The 24,903-nt window shown below is 35.9% G+C and overlaps 2 long non-coding RNA genes across 3 annotated transcripts in view, besides 1 other annotated feature; one reads left to right on the forward strand and one right to left on the reverse strand.

Moving 5' to 3' along the window:
• Positions 1-3,657, forward strand: part of LINC01889 (long intergenic non-protein coding RNA 1889) — an 82,638-nt gene extending 78,981 nt beyond the window's left edge. For both annotated transcript variants that reach the window (XR_923294.3, XR_923295.3), the window contains exon 4: positions 1,843-3,657. This is a non-coding gene — a long non-coding RNA (long intergenic non-protein coding RNA 1889). The remainder of the gene's footprint in view (positions 1-1,842) is intronic.
• The window catches only part of LOC124900611 (uncharacterized), an 85,494-nt gene extending 64,068 nt beyond the window's left edge, over positions 1-21,426 (reverse strand). Inside the window, exon 1 of the long non-coding RNA XR_923296.2 lies at positions 21,249-21,426. This is a non-coding gene — a long non-coding RNA (uncharacterized LOC124900611). The remainder of the gene's footprint in view (positions 1-21,248) is intronic.
• Positions 22,688-22,888: a silencer, noted in NCBI's record as "peak3850 fragment used in MPRA reporter construct". NCBI's record gives its function as "represses an SCP1 promoter by STARR-seq MPRAs in K562 erythroleukemia cells {active_cell/tissue: K562}" and the evidence as "EXISTENCE:reporter gene assay evidence [ECO:0000049][PMID:32103011]".

Here is a 24,903-nt window from a genome sequence, read left to right on the forward strand (position 1 = left end):
TTATACAGAAATTGACAAGCTGATCCTAAAATTCATTTGGAAATACAAGGGATGAAAAATAGACAAAACAATCCAGAAAAGGAAAAACAAAGTTGGGGGACTCACACTTCTTGATTTCAAAACTTTCTACAAAGCTACAATAATCAAAACAGTACAGTGCTGGTACAAGGATAGGTCTATAGATCAATGGAATAGAAATCAAAGTCCAGGAATAAATTCATACAATCTGTGGTTGATTGATTTTCTACCAAGTGCCAAGACTATTCAATGTGGGTATAAATAATAGTTTCATCAAATGATACTGGGACAACTCAATATCCATATAAAAAGGAAATAAGTTAGACCCCTTCCTCACATCATGCCCAAAAATTAACTCAAAATACATGATAAGCCAAAATGTAAAATCCCAAAATATAAAACAGTCAGAAGAAAATGTAGAAGTACATCCTCAGTATATTGGGTTAACATTATTTTTAGATATGACCGAAAATAATCCAAAACAACAGAAGAAAAAAATAGATAAATTGGATTACATCAACATCAACATGTTTGCTGCATCAACCAATACCATCAAGGATGTGTGTAAAGGATACTAACAGAATGTCAGAAAATATTTGCAAATCATGTATCTGAAAAGAGAATTATATCCAGGCTATATGAAAATATCTTAGGACTCAATAACAAATGATAAATAAGCCAAGTAAAAATAAAAATTTTTCTAAAGAAGATACACAAATGTCCCATAAGCACATAAAGAATGCTCAACATCATTTGTCATTAGAGAATAAGTTAAAATCACAATGATATACCACTTCACTCATACTAGAGTGATTATAATAAAAGACAGATATTAGCAAGTGTTGGCAAGTCTGTGAAACTCTCATACATAGCTTCTGGAAGTGTAAAATGATATAGTCATTTTAGAAAATCCTTTGTCAGTTCTTTAAAATGTTAGATATTGAATTAGTACATGACCCGATAATTCTAGTCCTAGGTATATATCCAAGAGAAATGAAAATGTATATCCACCTGCAAACTTGTATATGGATGCTCACAGAAATTATTCATAGTAAAAGTGAAAGCAACCTAAGTCTTCATAAACTAATGGTTGGATGGACAAAATTTGGTATATCCATAAAATAGAATATTATTGGGTAACAAAAAGGAATGAAGTATTGATACATGTTACAACATGAATGAACCTTGAAAACATTATACGAATTGAAAGAAGCCAGTTACCCAAAGAAAATGAATGTTATGTAATTCTGTTTATATGAAATAAGAAGAGCAAATCTGTAGAGAAAGAAAATAGATTAGTGGTTATCAGGAGATAGGGGGACAATAGGGGGCATGGGGACGTGACTGCTAATGAGTAAGCATATTATTTTTGATGTTATTCTAAAATTAGTTGATGATGATGGTCCCACAACTCCGTGTAAATATTAAAAACCTTTGCATTGCACAGTTTAAGTAGGTGAATTGTATGACATGTGAATTATAACTTAATAAAGCTGTTTAAGGAAAAAAAAAAAAACTTCTATGCATTATACCTTTTGTCAGGTACCTTACTTTGGGTGTGTACATGGATTACCTACATTTCCTCTACCCTCTGAGATGGATACAGATTGGAGGGAGGTGTCACGGTAACTAAAACAGTCCAGGCATCCCTGGCATTAGCACTTACTTATTCAAGGTGGGCCTTGTATTGCTCCAAAGTGGGAAATATTCCTGGGTAATATTTCTGGTTTATTCCATATGCCCACCAGTAGGTTTGCTACTAAACATCCTCGATGCTGTGCCCTGGGCATGATGCTTCTATTCATTGCCGTCTCTCTTCCACAGGGCTCTGCTGACAGTCTTCTCTCCTGCTCCACTTGTCACACTGGGGGCTGCTGCTGTTACTCTGGGTGTGCCACACCATACAGGGTGCCTCTGCTGCTCTGCATTGCCTCTTTGGCCTTGTCGGATGCCACAGACCATGTCTGGTGTCTACTGCTGGTCTGCTAGAACCTCACCAGACTCCCTGGCCACACATACAGTCTAAATCCCATTGTGATGTTCTGTGCTGCCAAGTATTGTGCTTTGGGATCAAAGTGTTGAGAAGGACAGTGACTCTTTCAAATGTCATTCCATTGGGGTCAACTCTAGTGATTTCTCACTGTATTTGACAGTTTAGTGCAAGAGCTCTCTCAGTTTTTAGAGTCATACGTTTCCCTGTACACATTCATAGAGCTGGGGAGAGTGAGCAATAGCCAAGACATTGCTGAAATCACAATGTGGAACTCCTCAAGGCTATGCATGTACATTATTGCAAAGAATAAGGCTTTGTTCCTCATCCATCCTCTGGTAGTCACAGCTTTATTTTAATTAGAGCTGTTTCCATAAAGCTAGCATAGAGATATGTGTCTGTCTACAGGACGAGTTCGTGAGATGTGCCCAAAGCAATGGTAAATAAGGCTTGAGTTTTCTAGGAGGCAATTCAGTCCTTCTGCAAATAGATCCTCACCTCTGCTGCTACATTTGGTATGCACTTTTACCTTGGCATGCACCACGGTGCCCTGTGATTATTAATTTACTTCCATGTCTTGGTCTTCATGTCTCTCTGTAGATCTTTAAGGGCAGGGACAATACATTATTCAACTTTATTTAAAAATTCTAACATCTATCCTAGTGTTAGATACTGAGCAAACATGCAGCAAATGTGTCCTGTATAAATGAAACAAGTCATATTCCAATTTTTTTGTTTTCCTCCTGGTTTTACTTAATGAAACTCATTGAACTAAAAATATCTAATCTTTATATTCCTCCAGCAAACTATGAGACTTAGTCCATTTTAGATTCTTATTAAAATTTACTGAATTGCCTTTTTTGGTATTCATAAATGTATGAAAGTGACTTACCAATTAGTGATAATTATTATTAATTGCTTATTAATAGATTATAATTGGAGCCCAGCACATATTGTTACAGGCCTTATCATATTTCAGGCAACACTTCGATTTTAAAACAAACATTAAAAAAAATTCTTATTTGATGACTCTGAGGATAGACCTCCCACCATAAGCCTTTATCCATGCTAGAGTGGAATAGACAGATGCATTTCATTTACAGCGTAAGATAAAATTGCTCTTTGATATTCAGTACTCTGTGTGGGGAAAGCCTTTTTTTTCTTTTCTGAATTCCAGTAATTGTCTTGTTTGTAGTCCCTTGCTGCAGACCTTTGCCTCCTGCCAACTGCTTGCCAGACGTGGTCTCAATGTTAAGAAGGGAGAGGTTCCCAGAGAGCATAAGATATATATTGAAATCAAACATTTTTCTAAAACTATTGTTTTCCAATTTCCACTAAATCATACCTTTTGTGACCCTTCTTACTCAGTGGATTTCAAAACACTTAGCAAAAGAATAACTAAAATAAAAAGTCATTACTCACAGATGCTTTGCACACCTGAAGGGTAAAGTTGGTTTTTCTTTTGTGTGTTATTTATACCAATGACACACCATTTCTTTATTATTTTTGAGTTTCATTCTTTAGGTTAACTGGCTCCACTTTGATTTCTGCTGCTCAGCTATGACACAACAATTGAATTTAAGTATCAGCCTATTACTTACTCTGTATGTTTCAAAATTCAAGGTCAGAATAAAAAATTAGAAAACAAATGGGGACATCAAGTCTTTTTCTCTATCTCAGTCCATAAAAATCATAGTCCATAAAAATTCTAAATTCACAGAAAGTGTTCAAAACTCCTCTCTGCTGGCTACTCTCTGTGTGACCTGGGCAAAGTTACTCAGCCTTTCTCTATCATGAGTTTCTAATCTAAAAAAAAAAATAGTGCATTGTTTATAATACCTATGTTATAGGCTTGCTTGAAGAATAAATTGGTTGTGACGTTAGCAAGGTGGCAAACTAGAAAGATCCAGGCCCTCATTCCCCAATGAATATATTAAGGAAACAAATAGAGGCTGACTAAAACAACTTGCTGGGATTTCTGAAAATCAGTCAAAGATCTATATGACCAACTGAGAACTCAATCAAGAAAAAGCCGCCATGTTCAATACATTAGGAAATTTCATGTGTCCTATCCTACACTCCCTTCCGTGCGGTGTGCCATAGTTTGGGAAGTGGCAGCCCATTCTCTAATTCCCTCTGTGAACCACAGAGAGCAGAGAAGACCTAATTTTCAATGTCTTATCCTGTCTGGGGACTGCTTGAAGGATTGGTCTCTGTGTCACCTAACATGGAGCTCAGATAGCCAAAGAGTACAGCTTGAATCTTAGGCTAGTAAAAACCACTGGAAGCATCAAGCATGGCTCAAAAAGCGAGGAAAACTATAGACTTGTAGATGTTTGAGGCTAGAGCTTACTCACTTAGGAACACAACAGAACACCTAAGGCCCAGGGAAGGAACATAATAAGTAAGAGTCACATAGAAAATAAGAAATTTAAAAATAACTGTGTAGGGAGAGAAATCAGAAAAAAATAAAATATAAATAAAAGCAGATACACAGCCTAGCAAAGACATCTATCCAGAAAAGTCCTGAGAAGACCACAGGTCTTCATATTGGGCCAATTACAAGTCTCAGAACATGCCCTGCTAATTAATAAAGCTTTCCCCTGCAGGGAGCCAATCTGCAATGAATAGGATTGGTGGCTGTTCTTTCAAATGACCAATTTTCAATTAAAGATTGCAAGCCCAACAACAACAAAAAAAAAACAAAAACAGGAAAAATCAACTCATTCAATGGTACAGAATACATTTCTATAAGCAGTCCCTGAAGCAACACAGGCATTGGACCCACTAAACAAAGACTTTAAAATAACTATCTTAGATAAATTCAACAAGCTAAGCAAAAACACAGACCAATAACTAAAACAAATAGGAAAGTGATATGTAAACAAAATGAGATTATCAATACAGATAAAAATTATTGTATTTATTATTTTAAAAAGAACCAAAGAGAAATTCTAGAGCTGAAAAACAAAATACCTGGATGAAAAATTTTAATAGAAGTATTTAACAACTGATTTGAATAGGCAGAAGTAAGAAAAAACAGATTTGAAGTCAGGTCATATTAAATTATTGCATCTGAAGAGAAAAATAAATACACAGGAACATAAACAGAAAAAAAATCTCCGTGACCACAAATTTTTAATGGAAATACAGTACAGAAAGAAGTAAAATCTGACATTGACTATGTAAACTGGGAAAGAGAGGAAGTCAAGTCTAGAGTTTCTGTGATTTAAGATAAGTTGTTATCAGCATGCAACACACTATTGTAACTATGAAATGTTCAATGCAAATCTTATGAAAACCATAAAAATACAATAGATACACAAAATATAAAGATAAAATAATCCAAGCCCATCAATACAAAAAACCATCAGGACCTAAAGAATGACAAGGGAGAAAAAGAGTAAGAGAACTACACAAAAGACAAAACAATTCACTACTTGTAAGAGTAATTCCTTACATAGTAATCATGATTTTAAATATAAATGAACTAAACTCAAAAAAAAAAAAAAGATGTAGTGTGGCTGAATGGATTAAAAACTGAGATCCAACTGTTTACTGAATAAAAAGACTTAATGATAGATTTAGGGGCACACATAAGATGAAAGTGAAGAGATGGAGGAATGTATACTTGCAAGTGATAACCAAAAAGAACGAAGAGTGGCCACACTTCTATCAGACCAAAATAGACTTTAAGTCAAAAACAGTCACAAGCGACAAGAAGGTCACTGTATAATAATAAAATGGTCAATTCTAAAGGAACTTATAATAATCGTAAATATATATGCACCCAACATCAAATGACCTAAATATAGGTTGAGTATCCCTTATTTGAAATGCTTGGGACCAGAAGTGTTTCAAACTTGTTTTTCTTTTTCTTTTGTTTTGAAATATTTGCACATATATAATGAGATATCTTGGGAATGAGAACTAAGTCTATATATAAAATTCACTTACGTTTTATATATGCCTTATACATATAACCTGAAAGTAATTTTATATAATATTTTAAATAATTTTGTATATGAAACAATGCTTATGTAGATTGAACCTTCAAAAATTTAAATTGTCACTATCTCAGCCACTCATCTGAAAAATCTGTGATTGTTTGGTATCACCATTATTCTTGACTGCTAATAAGCAATCATTTTCCTACACTTATTCACACAAAGGTACTTAACAGTATTAAATGTGACTGCAACTCATCACATGAGACCAGGTGTACAATTTTCCACTTATGGAATTATGTCAGTGCTCAAAAAGTTTAGAATTTGGGAGTATTTCAGATTTTGAATTTTTAGATTACAATGCTCAACCTGTATATAAAGCAAATATTAGCAAATCTTGGGAGAAATAGACAGCAATATAATAATAGTAAGAAACTTTCATTCTCTATAATGTATACATCATTTAGAAGGAAAATCAGTAAGAAAAAAGCAGAACTGGATAACGCTATAGGCCAAATGAACCTAACAAACATATATAGGACTTTCTACTGAATGGCAGCAGAATATAGTTTATTCTCAAGTGCACACAGAACAGCCTGCAAGACAGATCATACACTATGACATGAGACAAGTCTTAACTCATTTAAAAGGATTTAAATTAATTAATACATCTTTTTATCACAATGGAATGAAAATAGAAATCAATAAAAGAAAGAAAAGTTATAATAGATGGAAATTAAACAATAATCTTCAACAACTATTCAGGCAAAGCAGAAATTAAAAAGTAAATTGAAGAATATCTCAATTTAAATAAAAAAACACAACATATCAAAACCTATGAAATGCAGCAAAATCATCACTCAGAGTTTATACCAAAAATACCTACATTAATAAAGAAAAAAGATCTCAACTAAGCAGCTGAACTTTGTACCTCAAGAACTAGGAGAAAAAAACTAAACCACACATTAGCAGAAAAAAATAATAAAGATTAGAGGATATATAAATGAAACAAGGATGGACAAACTAAGAGTTAATTTTTTGAAAAAATGTAAACTAAGAGTTAATTTTTTGAAAAAAAAATAAACAAATTGGCATTTAGCCAAAAGAACAAAGAAAACAGAGAAGACTTATAAAATGAGAAATGAAAGATGAGACATTACAACTGATCTCACACAATAAAAAGAATCATAAAGGACTGTTATGAACAAGTATATGCCAACAAATTAGAAAACCTAGAAGTAAGAAATAGAGAGTTTCCTAGAAATGTACAATCTACCGAGACTAAATCAAGAAGAAATAGAAATCCTTAGCATACCAGTAACAAATAGGGAGATGGAGGCAGTAATAAAAAATGAATGAAAGAAAGAGAGAAGGAAGGAAGGGAAGGGAAGGGAACGGAGGGGAGGGGAGGGGGAGGGGGACGGGGAGGGGGAAGAGGAGGGGGAGGGGGAGGGGGAGGGGGAGGGGGAGGGGGAAGGGAGCCGGGGCTAGATTGTTTCAAGGGTGAATTCTGTCAAACATTTAAAGAAAATTAACATCAATCATTTCTAAACGCTTTCAGTATATGCAATAGAGAATAATTCTGAACTTATTTATAAGGTCAGAATCAACCCAACAGCAAAGCCAGGAAAAGACCCCACAAGTAAAGAAAACTACAGGTCAATACTTTTGAGGAATATTGATGCAAAACTCCTCAAGAATGCTAGCAAACAAAATATAGCAGCACATTAAAACAATCAAACACCATAACCAAGTAGAATTTATTCCCGAGATGCAAGGATGGTTCAACATGCACAAATTAATCAATGTGATACAACACCACATTAACAGAAAGGAGGATATCAATTACATAATCATTTCAATAGATGTAGAAAACATTTAGCAAAATTCAACACATTTTTATAATGAAAATTCTTAACAAACAGCATACAAGGAACTTACCTCAATACAAAAAAAGTCATTATGAAAAGCTCTTACTAATATCACAATCAGTGATGAAACGCTGAAAACTTTTCTTATATGAAATAAGGCAAAGTCTATTCAAAGTAGCCTGGAAGTCATAACAAGGGTAATTAAGCAAGAAAAGTCATAAAGACCTCACAAAAAACTTTTTAAACCAATAAAATTGATTCAGTAAATTTGTCGGATACAAAATCAACATCAAAAAATCAATTGCCTTACTATACAGTCCTTTAAACAAGGCAGAAGTTAGGGATGCTGATCCTCCATGCAGAAAATAAATTGTATATAACTTTGACTTCCTCAAAACATAACTACTAATAGCTTACTGTTAACCAAAGCCTTACCTACTGATAACATAAAGAGTCAATTAACACAAGAAAATGTTATTAAGACAATCATAAGAAAAATATATTTGCTATTCATTAAGTGGGAGTTGATCATCATAAAAATCTACATTCTTATCATCTGTATGTAGAGCAATCTAAAGAGAAGAAGAGTAATTGGTGTTGCTTTCTCAGGAGTGGCAGAAGCAGAAGAAAATCTCCATATAGGTGGACCTGCACAGTTCAAACCCATGTTGTTCAAGGGTCAACTGTACACCAACAATTAACTATCTGAGAAAAAAAACTAAGAAAACAATCCCATACATAATAGCTCTTAAATGAATAAAATGCTTGGGAATAAACTTAACCTAGGAGACTTGTTTACTGATAACTACAGGATCTTAATGGAAGAAATTTAAAAATACACAGATAATTGGAAGGCCATCTGTTGTTCATTTATTAGACTAATATTGTTAGGGTGTACATAATTCCCAAAGCAATCTTTAGATTCAATACAATTACTATCGAAATCCAAATGACATTTTTCAGAGAAATAGAAAAAATGTCCTAATATTATTATGGAACCACAGATGACCCTAAATACCCTAAAAATTTTTTTAGGAAGAACAAATACCCTGCAAATATCACATTCCCTGATTTTAAAATATATTACAAAGAGGCTGGGCGTGGTGGCTTAAGCCTGTAATCCCAGCAATTTGGGAGGCCAAGGTGGGTAGATCATGAGGTCAGGAGATTGAGACCATCCTGGCTAACATGGCGAAATCCCATCTCTATTAAGAATACAAAAAAATAAAATTAGCTGAGTGTGGTGGCAGGCACCTGTAGTCCCAGCTACTCGGGAGGCTGAGGCAGGAGAATGGCATGAACCTGGGAGACGGAGCTTGCAGTGAGCCAAGATCGAGCCACTGCACTCCAGCCTGGGTGACAGAGCAAGACTCTGTCTCAAAAAAAAAAAAAAAGTACAAAGCTACAATAATTAAAACAGTATGGTACTGGCATTAAAAAAAATAAACAAATTGAACAGTGTAGAGAGCACAGAAATAAACCCATGCATATGCAGTCAACTGTTGTTCAAAAAGGGTGCCAATAATACATGAAAAGATAGTCTCTCCAATGAACAATGTTTGGACATTTTTAAATCCACATTTAAAATAATAAAACCCTAATCTTAAACTATATAGAAAACTAAACCCCAGATAGATTAAAGACCTAAACATAAACCCAGAAACAATAAAACCCTTAGAAGAATAATAGAGAAAATGTTGGAGACATTGGTCTTGGCCATGGTTTCTTGGACATTACTCAAAAGCACATAAAACAAATTAAAAATAGATAAATTGGACATCACAATGAAAAATTATGTGCAATCAACAAAGCAAAAATTATATAATCAGCACAGCAAAAAGCCAAATTATGGCACTGGAGAAAATATCGGCAGACCATATATCTTATAAGAGGTTAATATCCCAAATATGTGACAGTCTTCTACAACTCAATAGCAAAAAATAATATGCATCAATATCAGCAGCAGCAGCAGCAGCAGCATTTCATTTTTAAAAGGGCAAAAAACATGCATAGATATTTCTCTAAAGATGACTTACAGTTGGCCAATGCATATACAAAAAGGTGCTCAACCTCACTAATCATCTGGGAAATACAAATCAAAACTACAATAAGATATTACCTCATATCTGTTTTAATGACTATTATTAAAAAGAAGAAAATAGATAAATGCTGACAAAGTCATAGAGAAAAAAAAGAACAATGTACACTGATGGTAGAAATGTTACCTGTAACCACTATGGAAAAGACTAAGAAGCTTCTACATAAAATTAAACATAGAATTTCCATTTGATTCAGCAATTCTGCTTTTGATTATACAGTTAACCCTTGAAGAATATGTATTTGGATTTCACAGGTTTAAATTTAAATTGAAATTTCTTAAATATACGTTTCTTAAATGAAAACTTAAATGTAAATTTTCTTCTGCCTGTGCTACTATGAGATAGCAAGACCAAGCCCTCCTCTCCCTCTTCCTTCTCAACATACTCAATGTGGAGACAAAGATGAAGACCTTCATCATGATGATCAACTTTCACTTAATGAATAGTAAATACATTTTTTCTTCTTCATGATTTTCTTAATAACATTTAATCTAACTTACTTTATTGTAGGGATACAGTATAAAATTTATATAACATAAAATATATATTAATTGACTGTTTATGTTGTTGATTAGACTTCCAGTCAACAGTAGGCTATTAATAGTAAAGCTTTTGAGGAAGCAAGTTATATGTAGATTTTCAACTATGTGGGGAATTGGCACCTCTAACCCTCATGTTATTCCAGGGACAACTGTATATGCAAACTAATTGAAATCTGGATATTAAAGAGATTTCTGCACTTCTCTGTTGCTATAGTATTCACAATAGCCATAATATGAAAACAACCTAATGTTCATGAACAGATCAGTGGATAAACAAAGTGTAATATATACATACAATGGAATATTTACCTTTAAACAGAAGGGAACCCTGTCATTTATAACAACGTAGACGAATCTGGAGGATATTGTGCTAAGTGAAATAAGTCAGATACAAAAAGATGAATACTGTATTATATAGCTTATATGTGAGTTGTGATTACCAGGGATTTAGGGGAGAGGAAAATAGGGAGGTGATAATCTAGCATTCACAGTTTCATAAAAGACTTACGATACAAGTCTGGGCACTGTGGCTCATGCCTGTAATCCCAGCACTTTGGGAGGCCAAGGCCAGTAGATCACTTGAGGTCAGGAGTTCGAGACCAGTCAACATGGTGAAGCCCTTTCTCTACTAAAAATATAAAAAAATTAGCTGTGCATGGTGGTGCACACCTGTAATCTCAGCTACTCAGGAGGCTGAAGCAGGAAAATTGCTTGAACCCAGAAGGCAGAAGTTGCAGTGAGTCGAGAGCATGCCACTGCACTCTAGCCTGGGTAACAGAGTGAGACTCAGACAAAAAAAAAAAAAAAAAAAGACATAATACAGCATCAAAAGGACTAATATATTTAATATTGGAGTTGTAGAAGGTGAAGATAGACAGAAAAGGACACAGAGTTTTTTGGGTTTTGTATTTTTGTTTTTTAATGTTCAAAACCTTCATGCACTTGAGCAAAGACATAGACCTACAATCAACAAATTTGAAAGGTTTATTAAATCTGAGTTGAATAAACTCAAAGACTGCAATACTTAAATTCATTACTATCCAACTGTTGAAAGATAACAACAAAGAAAATCTTGAAAGCAAAACAAGAAAAGTGACTCATCATGTATGATGGATTTCTCAACAGAAAACTTACAGCCTAGAGACAATAGGCTGGCATATTAGAAGCATCAAAAGGAAAAACAAAACCTGTCAACTGAGATCGTCATTTCCAATAAAAATTAGGGAGAAATTAAGACAACCTCAGATAAACAAAAATGTACAGATTAATGACCACTAGACCTTCCCTATAATAAATGTTAAAGTGAGTTACCATTCAAGTTAAAGTGAAAGAATGTTAGAGACTAACTCAAATCCTTAGAAAATTTAAAGTCTTGTATTAAAAATAATAGGCAAATATCAAAAGCAGTGCTATTTTATATTGGTTTGTAAATCCATGTTTTACATTGTTTTAAGACACAAGCATTAAATACAACTCTGTGATAATGAAGGCATAGCATATGAAGATGAAAGTAAAGACATCAGCAACATAAAGGAGAAGGTGGTGGGTGAGGGTAGGCCTGCAAAAGAGTAGAGCTTTTATATGTGATCAAAGCTAATTGATTATCAGTATAAAATAGGTTATTACTTTAGGATATCATATGCAATCTCCAGAGTAACTATTAAAAAATTTTATGGAATGCACACGAAAGAAAATGAAAAAGGAATCAAAACATGTTACTATGAAAATTAAACACAAAGAAAGGCACTAACGGAAGAAATGAGAGATCTAAAATGTTATAACACAAATGAAAAACAAATAACAAAACATCAAAAGTAAACTTTTCCTTCTCTGTAATAACTTTATCCGTGAATGAATTAAGCTCCCTAATAAAACGACATAAACTGAGAGAATGAGGTTTTTTTAAAAAAGTAGCAGGATCCAACAATATGCTGTCTAAAAGAAACTCAATTTAGATATAAGGATAGACACATACATTGAAAATTAAAGGATAAAAAAAGATATTTCCTGCAAATATAAATAAAAAAAACTCGGGATGGTAAACCATATTAGAAAAAATAGACTTTAAGTTAACAATTTTTATAAGAAACAAAATACATTACTGTCAGACATTACATACTGATAGTAGGGTCAACACACCAAGAAGGTATAACAATTAAAATGATTATGTACCACACATCAGAGGCCTTAAATGTATAAAGCAAACACTGCAGAATCAAAGGGAGAAACAGACAACTCTACAATCATAGAAGATACTTAACTACCCCACTTTCAATAATGGATAGAACAACCAGACAGAATATAAATAAGGAAATATAGGACTCTAACAATAGTATAGACCAGTTGGACGTAACATACATATACTTAACCAAGGAGGTGAAAGATTCATAACCTGAAAACTATAAAATAGTGCAGAAAGAAATTAAAGACAAATAAATAGATATTGTGTTCATGGATTGGAAGACAGTATGTGAAGGTTTCAATACTACCCAAGTGACCTACACATTCAAAGCAATTTTTATAAAAATACAATAATGTTTTTTGAAGAAATAGAAAAATCAATTCTTAAATTTATGTGGAATCTCAAGGAACTTTGAATGGCTAAAACAATCTTGTGAAATACAACAACAACAACAACAACAACAAAATAGGAAGTGTCACTTTTCCTGGTTTCTATACTTATTATAAAGCCATAGTAACCAAAACAGTTTGGTAACAGCATCAAGACAGATGTATAGAGCAATGGAATACAATGAACAGCCCCTAAATAAACCTTCACATACACAGTCAAATAATTTTTGACAAGCAGACCAATATCATTCAATGGGAAAAGGATACTCTTTTCAACTTACAATGTTAAGAAAATTATACATATATTCAGAAGAATGAAGTTGGACCCCTGTTTACATCACAAGCCAAAATTAACTCACAATGAATCAAAGATCTAAATATAAAAGGTAAAACTAGTAAAGTCTCACAAGAAAATAGGGGAAAACTTCATGATTTGGGATTTTTAATATTTTCTTGGATAAGACCCAAGAACACAAGCAAACAAGGAAACACACAGATAAATTAAACTACATGAAAATTTAAAACTTGTGTGAATCAAAGGACACTATCAACAGAGTGATAAATCAACCCATCTGTATTAGTCCATTCTCACACTGCTGTGAAGAAATAGCAGAGACTGGGTAATTTATAAAAAAGAGGTTTAATTGACCTACAGTTCAGCATGGTTGGGGAGGCCTCAGGAAACTTATAATCATGGTGGAAGGCACCTCTTCACAGGGTGGCAGGAGAGAAAATGAGTGCTGGGAGAAGGGGGAAGCCCCTTAAAAAAACATCAGATCTTGTGAGAACTCACTCACTGTCACGAGAACAGTATGGGGGAAATCACCCCTATGCTTCAGTTATCTCCAACTGATTCCACCTTTGACAAGTGTAGATTATTACAACTCAACATGAAAACTGGGTGGGGACACGGAGCCAAACCATATCACCATGAAATGAGAGAAAACATTTGTGAATATATATCTGATACAGAATTATTATCCAGAATACATAAAAAACGATAACTCAATAATACAAAACCCCCAAGAAACCCAATTAAAAAATTGACAAAGAACATGACTAGATATTTCTCTAAATAGGATACACAAATGGCCAATAAACACATGAAAACTTGCTCAACATCACCAATCATCAGAGAAATGCAAATCAAAATCATAATAAGATACCACTTCACACCCATTAGGCTAGCTATTAATAAAATATAAAATAAGTGCTTACAAGATGAGGAAAAACTGAACTCTTGTTTGTTGTTGATAGGAAGGTAAAATAATGCAGCTACTGTGGAAAACAGTGTGGTGGTTTCTCAAAAAATTAAAAATAGAATTACCTTGAACATCAATATAAATTTAATTATGAGAATTTCCATTTCTGTATATATGTTCAAAATAATTGAAAGCAGAAACTAAAAAAGATACTTGTGCACCCATGTTTGTAACAGCATTACTCAAGTACTCAAAAGGTTGAAGTAACCCAAGTGTTCATTGACAGATGAGTTGATAAACAAAATGTGTTTTTTGTTTGTTTGTTTGTTTGTTTTTTGAGACAGAGTCTCGTTCTATCACCTAGGCTGGAGTGCAGTGGTGCAATCTAGGCTCACTGCAAGCTCCGCCTCCCGGGTTCAGGCCATTCTCCTAACTCAGCCTCCCGAGTAGCTGGGACTACAGGCGCCGGCCACCAAGCCCAGCTAATTTTTTGTATTTTCAGTACAGACAGGGTTTCACCCTGTTAGCCAGGATGGTCTCGATCTCCTGACCTCGTGATCCGCCCGCCTCGGCCTCCCAAAGTGCTGGGATTACAGGCGTGAGGCACCGTGACCGACCAACAAAATGTGTTTTAAACATACAATGGAATATTGTAAGGGCTTAAAAAGGAAAGAAATTCTGACACATGCTACAGTATAGATGAACCTTGAAGATATTACACTAACTGAAATAAGTCAGTCACCAAAGGACAAATACTCTGTGACTGCACTTACATAATGTATGTAGGTCAGCCAATTTCATAAAGTTAGAAAGTGTAATGGTGATACCCGGGTGGAAATTGAGAAATGGAGTTATATGATCTTAATGGGTAGGGAGACTGGGTCTGGGGAGACAAAAATGTTCTATGGTGGTGCTGGTTGCACAAAAATGTGAATGTACTTAATGCCTCTGAACTGTAACTTAATATGTTTAAGATGTTTAAAAAAAGTTGTTCAATGAATTAATTTGATTAACATTAGAAAGTGCATACAAAAGCACCCAAAGTATTAAAAAATGCTTTATTAAGCATTTATCATTATTTTATTACTACTAATAATTTTAAATAAATAAGAAAAACACTCCCAAAGAAACAAGAGAAAAAATGGAAAAAGCATGACAATATGATGGAAAATAAATACAAAAAAATGAAGGGAGGGAGAGAGGGAGGGAGGGAGGGAGGGAGGGAGGGAAGTAGGCAAGCAGGCACTAGGAGGAGCAAACAGTGCCGAACGAAACAGAAGAGAATAAAAAGCCCAAGAATAAAATGTGGTGAGAATTAATTTGGAACCGGGTCATACTGGAGAGCTTGGAGAACAATTTAAAGAACATATATCTAGTGAATAGAATTTTTAAACAATTTAAATTTAAATAATTTTTAAAAGACAAGGGTTACTTGTTTGGGAAATGTTCCACAGATTAAGGACAAAGGAGCGAAGATTTGTCAGTTCTTGGTGACCATTATATTAGCTCTTTCTCTGGGGGTGGAGGGTGAGTGGAGTTAGAAATAAGTTTGCACAGGATTAGAGCCAGAGCAAAAGTGAGGAAGTGAAGAGAACAAATATAACCTCTTCTATTTGTTTTTAGGAGTTGGTAAAAATGAAGCAGAAAAATAGCAGAGAGAGATTTAACCAATGTTAACCACGCAGTTCTTCCTTATTTCTAGGAACGTGGCCATGTGACTGATTCTGGCTAAAGAAATGTGAAGAAAAACAATACATGTCACTCCCAGACTAAAGCATTTAATTATCTGTCCCTGACTCTTCATCCCGCTCTATGAATGCTGTAATGAATCCAGAGCCTTGTATTGAGAAAATGATATAATATAATGATGATGCCTTTGTTCACCTGCATCCCTGAGAGGTTTTGGTGAGGAGATTTCCCACCCCAGCCAACTTTCTTTGGGCACCTAGCATGCATAAAAAATAGTCCTTTGATTTTGATAAGCTATTGAATTTGGAGGTTTTATTTTACTGCAGCCTAACTTAGACTAACCTGAATAATACATTATCTACCATAATCTTTTCATCATCAAAAGAGAAATTCACAGCAGTGCCCAGTCTCAGGTGAAGATTTCTGTCAGAGAGACAATTCATACTTACTGTGTAATAAATTTCTTTTTCAAGCTTAGAGAAAGAGATGAAGAAGAGAGACTGCCAATGGCTCTGTGGAGATACAGCTAAGGACCACTGTGAAATTTTTGTTTGTAAAATGCTTCTAGTGAAATGTTCAGAGTTTTAACCTTTTGTATTCACAGATATAAATCAATTTTCTGGCTTATTTTTGTTATGTAACCATTATTGGGTTTGTACTATGAAAATGTAGCTCCTCCCATTGTAAGTAGAAGTAAAAGAAGAAATGTCAAATATGCTTTGGAAAAAGCAGTGTTTGTTCGATTTGTAGCCTGACCTATGAAAGGTCCCAGGAATGTGATTATCATATAGAATAGCAGTTCCACTGTATTCAGCATGACTTTTTTTCCATGAGAGTTTTATTAATTTACCAGTTTTCTAATGGCAAGCCAATTACTCTGTCATTGAGGCATATCTCAATATTGATAGATGAAATGATAGAAAAGGTAATATCCTTATAAATAAAGACCATCTACCAATCCAAAAGAAAGCCATTAAGACACCAGTATATGTATATTGGAAGGCTAACAAACTTACTCTTTCGGCCTCCCATGTAGCTAATGAGAAGTAATCAGAAGTCACAGGTTGGAACTTGAAGAAGCTTTTGCAATGGGGTAGACTAACTGATAGATATAGCTGGCCTTGTGCCCTTCACATTGCATTCTTCCATCTTCTGTCTTTATGCACACCAGATAGGACGCTAAGTGGCACAGGTAACATGTAGTGACTAGTACAGAGACTATGATAAGCACAGCAGATAAGAAAAACAGAAATCGCTTGAGTCTTTAAAAACACGAGTGTAATGCCACATTGTATCCAGTTTGCTTACACCCAGATCTCTGATTTAGTGATAATTCAACCACTTAAGTTACTTTTGATCCTATTTTCTGTTACTCACAGTCAAATATCCTAAGCAAAAATTATCATGTAACAAATGCTATTCCAAGCCCTGTAATATATTTTTTTCAGTTTGAAATGTTGAAGCCACCTATAGGGATATCATTCCCTACTATAAAGATGAAGAAACTACCCAAGTGTGGGCAAGGGTGGCATTCATATCCCAGGATCAGGAGCAGACAGTCCTGTATCTGAATTCCAGTTGCTGTATCCGATTCATGTATGGCTTATTGGACTTTTTGTCTCATAGCTTCCCAAAGAAGCTGGGTCACAAGCGTCCAGTCTTCTCTTTCAGCGTGGGACATTATACTCTCCAAACCAGAAACCTTTCACTATCACCTGTTAGATCTCTTTCCTGCCAGCCTTTAGTTGTGTGATTTGGGACAAGTAACTGATTCCCTCCAAGTCTTTGTTTGCATGCTGAGTTATCAAAAAGATTAAACGCTCTTCTAGCTCCTGACATAGCATAAACGCTAACATATGGAGAGAGCACTTACCTATATGCCAGACACTGATGAAACATGCTCTATAGATTGACTCATGCGATTTCCCCAACAGCCCTAAGGGAAAATTACTATTGTTATGGTGAGTTTACAGATAAATAGAGGCAGGAAGAGTGTAAGTGACTTGCCTGTGATTGTTGTGGTATCATAGAACAGGGATCCTAGCCCGGAAAACCTGTACCCAGAGTCTATCCTCTACCCCCTCTGCCATACCTACATTTGTTTCTGTAGCCTCATGCTGCATTTCATTCCATCTAGTGAATGGCCACATACTGCCAAGAGACCATACCACCTTCCTGTCCCAGTAGAACACTGTCTGCGGGACTCACTTCCCTTGTAGTGTGCACATCATCCCAAATGCACACATGTTGCCGTAAGTCTTACCTGACCATTTTTTGCAGTGCAGTCACACAGTACATCACTCTCTCCTAACCCCCAAACTAATTATGCTACTAGTCACACCCCTCATTGCATACACCAAGTTAAATGACTAATTATATAATCCCAGCAAGCGATCCTATTACAGTTGCAGCCAAGCACCTCATTACAGCTTTCCAGCCCAATATCTCATTACATGGCCTGGATACATCCAATTGCCTGCAGAGATACCTGTCTCATTACACCTTTGTGAGAAGCCCATGTATAAACCTAGGGCTTTGGACATTAGTATCATTAGACCTGTTCTGTCACAGCCCATTTCACACCAGTTCTTGACAACCCATTCACGTGAGCTCCTGAGAGGCAGGCCTTGTCCCACACTCGGGCTCCAGGGGAATAAAATTAGAAAAGTCCTCAGAAAGCATGTGTTTAGACTCAAACTACAAAGTCGGCAACACTGTGTCCATGGGTAGTTGTCAAGATTGAAGAATCTTCTTCTGCTAAACATAAATAATGCCTGCTATCATTTCTTCTGATATTTCTTTTAAAACACCCACATATAACATGTTCCCTTGAATGAAGAACAAAAAAAACAGAGAAAAAAGAATCACCAGTAATACCACTATTCTAATAAAGTAACAAACTTCATGTTGTAAATTGTTTTGGCTATTGATAATAATAATGTGTGTGGTAAGGCAGAATTATGGCTCCCAAAAAGGCTCCACAGTCAAAAACGTATGACTGTGAATATGTTACCCTAAGTGGAAAAGGGAACTTTGAGGATGTAGTTAAGGAGACTGATCAGTTGACGTTAAAATAGGAAGATTTTTCAGAGTTCTCTCGGGAGGTCCCATGTAATCACTTGAGCCTTTAAAAGCAGGAGAGCCCAGCACTTTGGGAAGCCAAGGCAAGATGATCCCTTGAGCCCACGAGTTTGAGAGCAGCCTGAGAAACATAGCAAGACCCCGTATGTACAAAAAACATTTAAAAATTAGCTGGGTGCACTGGTACATGCCTGTGATCTCAGCTACTCACTTGAGTCTGGGAGACCAAGGCTACAGTGAACTGTGACTGTGCCACTGTGATTATGCCATAATGCCACTGCACTCCAGCCAGAGGCAAAACCCTGTGACAGAGCAAAACCCTGTCTAAAAGAAGGAGTAATTCAGACAGTTGAGTGAGAGTGTGAGTTAAGAAGCCCAAGAAGGGTTCCATTTGCTTTTGCAGGCTTGAAGAGGGAGGGATCCATGTGTCAGGGCAACAGAGACCTCAATCGTACAACTACAATGAACTGAATTTTGCCAACAACTTGAGTTTAAAGGTAATTCTTCTTCACAGCCTGCAGAAAGAAATGCAAGTCTGCAGTCTTCCAGCACCTTGATTTTGGCCTTGTAAGACCCTGAATAGAGAATTGAATATATTGTGGTAGACTTCTGATTTATACAATTATTATATAATAAGTGGGTATTATTTTAAGCTGATAAAATTGTAATACATTATCAATCAACAGAAAACTAATACACTATACATGATTTTTAAAAATCAAATTATACTATGCATCATATTTTAAGATCTGTTCCTATAAGAATATATTGAAAGTAGTTTACATATCAAATAGTTTGCACATGGACAAAATATTTAATATCTGTATGATATTTACTTTTTTGTCTGGATTATAATTTATGCAAATGATCATCTATTTGAGGACATAGAGATTATTGTTATTTTTGCCATTAAAACTATGGTATGGTGAGAAAACTATTTTTGTACATCTGTCTTTGTAAACCCAGTGGAAGAATATGTGTAATCACTGTTTAAATTTTACATGAATATATAGATGGAATGCATAGATAACACAAACAAACCATGGCTATATAAATAGTCCATCATTTATATGTATAAAAAACTTATAAGTTAGGTCTCTGAATCTTCTTATACACACAAATGCACGTTTGTGGATACCAAATGAATCTGAATCAATTTATTCGTCTTAGTTCAATCCTCAAGTTCCTGACACTTTGCATTTAATAACTGAAGTTTTTCTATGGATTATATGCTCTAAATAACTTAAACAGTTAAAACAAAGCATGCTTTTTGAGCATGTACTATATGTAGGTCCTCGTTTTGGTAGGTTGAAAAGAGAAGTATCACAGCTGTTCACAGAGGCAGAGATGGCTATCTGACACCAAAACACACCTGCTCCTTTTCCATTAAAAAGTGTGGTTTCTGAGAAGAGACTGCACAGCCATGAACCTTATTCCCCAGAGGGCTGTGCATCTTCTTGAGCACAGGTAGCAGATTCTTGGCCAATGGGAAGGTGAGCAGAATGATAAGGGTTACTTCTTGGTTAAGGCACACCTGCTTCATCCTCTCTTCATGTGCTTGCTGGGTGCAGGAGATCCAGCAGAGGACCTTAGACCATGAGGGAATTGGAAAGTGCACAGATGTACAAAGCCTGGGCTACTGAGTCACTATTTGGTGCTTTTATGTACTTGGTGCATTACTGCTAGTCCCCATGGATAATAAATAGTACTATAATTGTTTATTCTTACATAGTACACTCATATATAGTTTTACATTACAAACCTAGTCCACGTACATAGAAGCACATATTAAGAATTCCCTAATCAACTATCACACATCTATTATTGACTGTACAATAAAACCTAATCCACACGGATATTGATCCATACTGCAAATCCTTAATATTACATAGTGCATACATTCGTTCATCGGACATAACACGTTTTAGTCAAGAAGTCCCTTGCCGACGTGGATGTCCCCTACCAATTTTTGGACTCTTAATCTACCAACCTCCGAGAAATCATCATCCCGCTAGGGAGTGCTACCCTCCTCGCTCCAGGCCCATGATACTTGGGGGTGATTATACTGAAACTATACCTGGCATCTGATTCTTACTTTAGGGCCATAGAACTAAGATCGCCCACATGTTCCCTTAAATAAGACATCTCAATGGACTAATGACTACCACCCTATGAACCAGTCACGGGAGCACTGTCATGCATTTGGTATTTTTAACTTTGGGGGATGCTGTCACTCACCATCGCGGAAGGCCTGGTCCCTGCCAAATCCACTGTAGGCAAACTCGGATTTAATTACTGACGAATCAATTGTAGAAGCTGAGCTTATATTGAATATTCCGGGGTGGCATATAATAACCAAAAGATGTTAATTAATTCATGCTTGAAGGACATAACAGTTAATCAATAGGGACTCACGTACGCACGTGTGTACACTCACGCACGCACGTACATACGTACGTACGTACGCTCAATTTCTTTTCTTTTTTTTTTTTTTTTTTGAGACGGAGTCTCCCTCTGTCGCCCAGGCTGGAGTGCAGTGGCGTGATCTCGGCTCACTGCAAGCTCCGCCTCCGGAGTTCACGCCATTCTCCTGCCTCAGCCTCCAGAACAGCTGGGACTACAGGCGCCCGCCACCACGCCCAGCGAATTTTTGTAATTTTACTAGAGACGGGGTTTCACTGTGTTAGCCAGAATGGTCTCGCCACGCTCCATTTCAAGAACTATTTCCGATTAGATCCGCAAACCACCCCCATCTCTGACTTTACCGTCAGCGTAGGTAAACATACCCTTACCAAACCCCAAAAACAAGAGACTAAAATGCAACCCAGTCAGAGCCCAGAAATCATATTTTAACCACGAACACCCCAACAGCTACCCCTCGATTGATGTAATTTTCCTAAAAAATCTTAGGACCCTCCTACTAAATTAATCCTCCATTTTGTATAATAAATATAATAACTAAATATCTGCCCTACTACTAACACCTTGAGCATATCCCTCTGAAAGCGCAGCCCCATATATCATATCCCAAATCAGTCATACTCTAATTATGAGTAATCCTCTCAGCCAAACCTCTGCCAATTCAACTTTAAAGACCCTGAATTTCCAGAACTGTAAACGACTATTTATACTTAGTTCTTTCTTTATCATATTTTCATTTTTACACTTAAGTGTTTATGCAGTTAATGTAGTTTAATTATTCAAAGCAAGACATTGAAAACGTCTAGGTGGGTCTGCACAACCCCCAAAAAAGATAGGTTTGGTCCTGGCATTTTTATTAACTCTCAGTAAGATTACACATGCAAGCATCCCCACTCCAGTGAAAATGCCCTCTAGATCACCGGGATCAAAAGAGCAGGTATCAAGCACGCACAAATGCAGCTCAAAACACTTTGCTCAACCGTACCCCCACGGGAAACAGCAGTGATAAATCTTTAGTAATAAACGAAAGTTTCACTAAGCTATACCAATATTTAGAGTTGGTCAATTTCTTGCCGGCCACCATGGCCATTCAAATGACCCAAGCCGATAGAGCTCCACGTAAAGAGTGTTTAAGGTCTACCCTCAATAAAGCTAAACTCCATCTAAGTTGTAAAAAAAAAAAAAAAAAACTCCAGCTGTAGCAATAGCCATGTGTGTTTGGGCTTTTTATGCGCATGAATAATGTATTTTCTTTTTTTTTTTTTTTTTTTTTTGAGACGGAGTCTTTCTCTGTCGCCCAGGCTGGAGTGCAGTGACGCGATCTCGGCTCACTCCAAGCTCCGCCTCCTGGGTTCACGCCATTCTCCTGCCTCGGCGTCCAGAGTAGCTGGGACCACAGGCGCCCGCCGCCATGCCCGGCTAGTTTTTTGTATTTTTTAGTAGAGAAGAGGTTTCACCGTGTTAGCCAGGATGGTCTGGATCTCCTGACCTTGTAATCTGCCCGCCTCGGCCTCCCAAAGTGCTAGGATTACAAGCGTGAGCCACCGTGCCTGGCTGAATAATCTATTTTCATTGTGTTATTTTTGGGTTTTGGAGTTTATAGGATACAAGAGATAGCATTACTTTTTTAAACCAAATATTTATTTGTTTATTTTTCTTGGAACAGAGTCTTGCTCTGTCCCCCAAGCTGGAGTGCAGTGTCACAATCACGGCTCACTGAAGCTTCTGCCTCCCGGGTTCAAGTAATCCTCTCACTTCAGCCTCCTGAGTAGCTGGGATTACAGGTATGCACCACCCCACCCGCTAATTTTTGTATTTTACTAAAATACAAAAATACAAAAAGTAGAGACAGGGTTTTGTCATATTGGTCAGACTAGTCTAGAACTCCTGGCCTCGAGGGATCTGCCCACCTTGGCCTCCATAACTGCTGGGATTACAGCTGTGAGCCACGGTGCCAAGCCAAGATAGCATTACTTTAGCTAATGTATTTTCACCCTTTTTTGAGCATAAGAAATTGTGAATACAAAGTTAGCAAATAAGAAGTAACTAAGGATCAGTTACTTGCTAAATGTGTGTGTGTGTGTGTGTGTGTTTGTGTGTGTGTGCTAAAGCTGATCATCTTTATAATTACAGAGAGTTGAGAAAAGAATCAGAGGATTATCACTGGACAGGATCTCACAAAGATTGTGATCACCAATTATACAAGTGATTACTGACAACCTCTTCTCTTTTAGGCCATATGTTGGGTTCCAGGATACAGACATTATATGGAAAGACAATTCGAGCATCCTCCCACCCTAGATCTAGCGGGGCAAAGTACACTAGGATCAAATGCTAACAATTTAAGAATTTACTTGGCATGCTTCAGAAAAGAGACATTATATCTCACTTTCCTCAGGGGAATGTTAAGCTTTTCTTTTTTTTTTTTTTTAATCTCAGAAAGAGTACATTTGATAGGAGACTCAAGAACAAATGAAAATTAAATGACAGGGTGGGCCTGGCAGGGAGGCCCAACCAGAAAACTGATAAAGCATCATGAACAAAACATGAGAGCAGAAATGTGTATTTTTGCTATTGAAATGTTGAAGAAAATCTGCCTCATTTAAGGGAAGAATATTGAAGATAAATATAATGAAAGATGTGGTATACTGGGATTACTTTAAGTGGAAAAATAAATTTGATATCAAAAAAGCAAAAGTTTTTCAGACCATAACCAGTATTTCAATTAAAGAGAAAACAAAAGAGGTTTTTTAACCAGGAACTAAATAAAGATGACCATCACCTTTACTAATATTTAATGTATTTGTTAACAATATTTGCTGTTGAATTTACTAGAAAAAAAATTGTAGGCATTAAAATAAAAAAGAAAAAATATGAAACTACATGTGCTTATGATATGAATATGATTATATATTTTGAAAACCCCAAAAAGTTCATGGAAAAAGTACTCATTGGGCAGGAAAAAGTACAAGACAGAGCTGGAACCTCTTACCAAACCAGGCCAGAAAGAAGCTGTCAAAAACTACTACCAAAAGGAGGCAGAACCCAGCCTGAATGAACTTTAACTTCCAGTTATAGGTTGATTTGAACATCTATGGGTACGATAACAACATTAGATCAAACTCATTAGATACGTAAGTCCGTAACCTTCTGATGATACTTCGAAAGCAACTTTTATTGGACATCTTTCAAGAGTTCCAAGGAAGCCACCCATTATTCTTGAAATTTGGCAAATAAAGGGAAAGAAGCAAGCATTTATCCAGATTTTCCAGCTTGAACTATAACTTATAATAATTGAATAGTTTATTAAAAGTTTCTTTTAAAGAAGCATTCTACCTAATAAGTAAAACAGAAATATTGAAGTTTGAATATTGCAGCTTGCAATGCTAAATCAATGAATAGATTTCACTAATCATTGTCAATGACTGCTAATAAAAAGATAAACATACATTATGAGTTTCCTGAATTATCA

This window comes from Homo sapiens, chromosome 2, assembly GCF_000001405.40.
Source record: "Homo sapiens chromosome 2, GRCh38.p14 Primary Assembly".
Classification (NCBI taxonomy): Eukaryota; Metazoa; Chordata; class Mammalia; order Primates; family Hominidae; genus Homo; species Homo sapiens.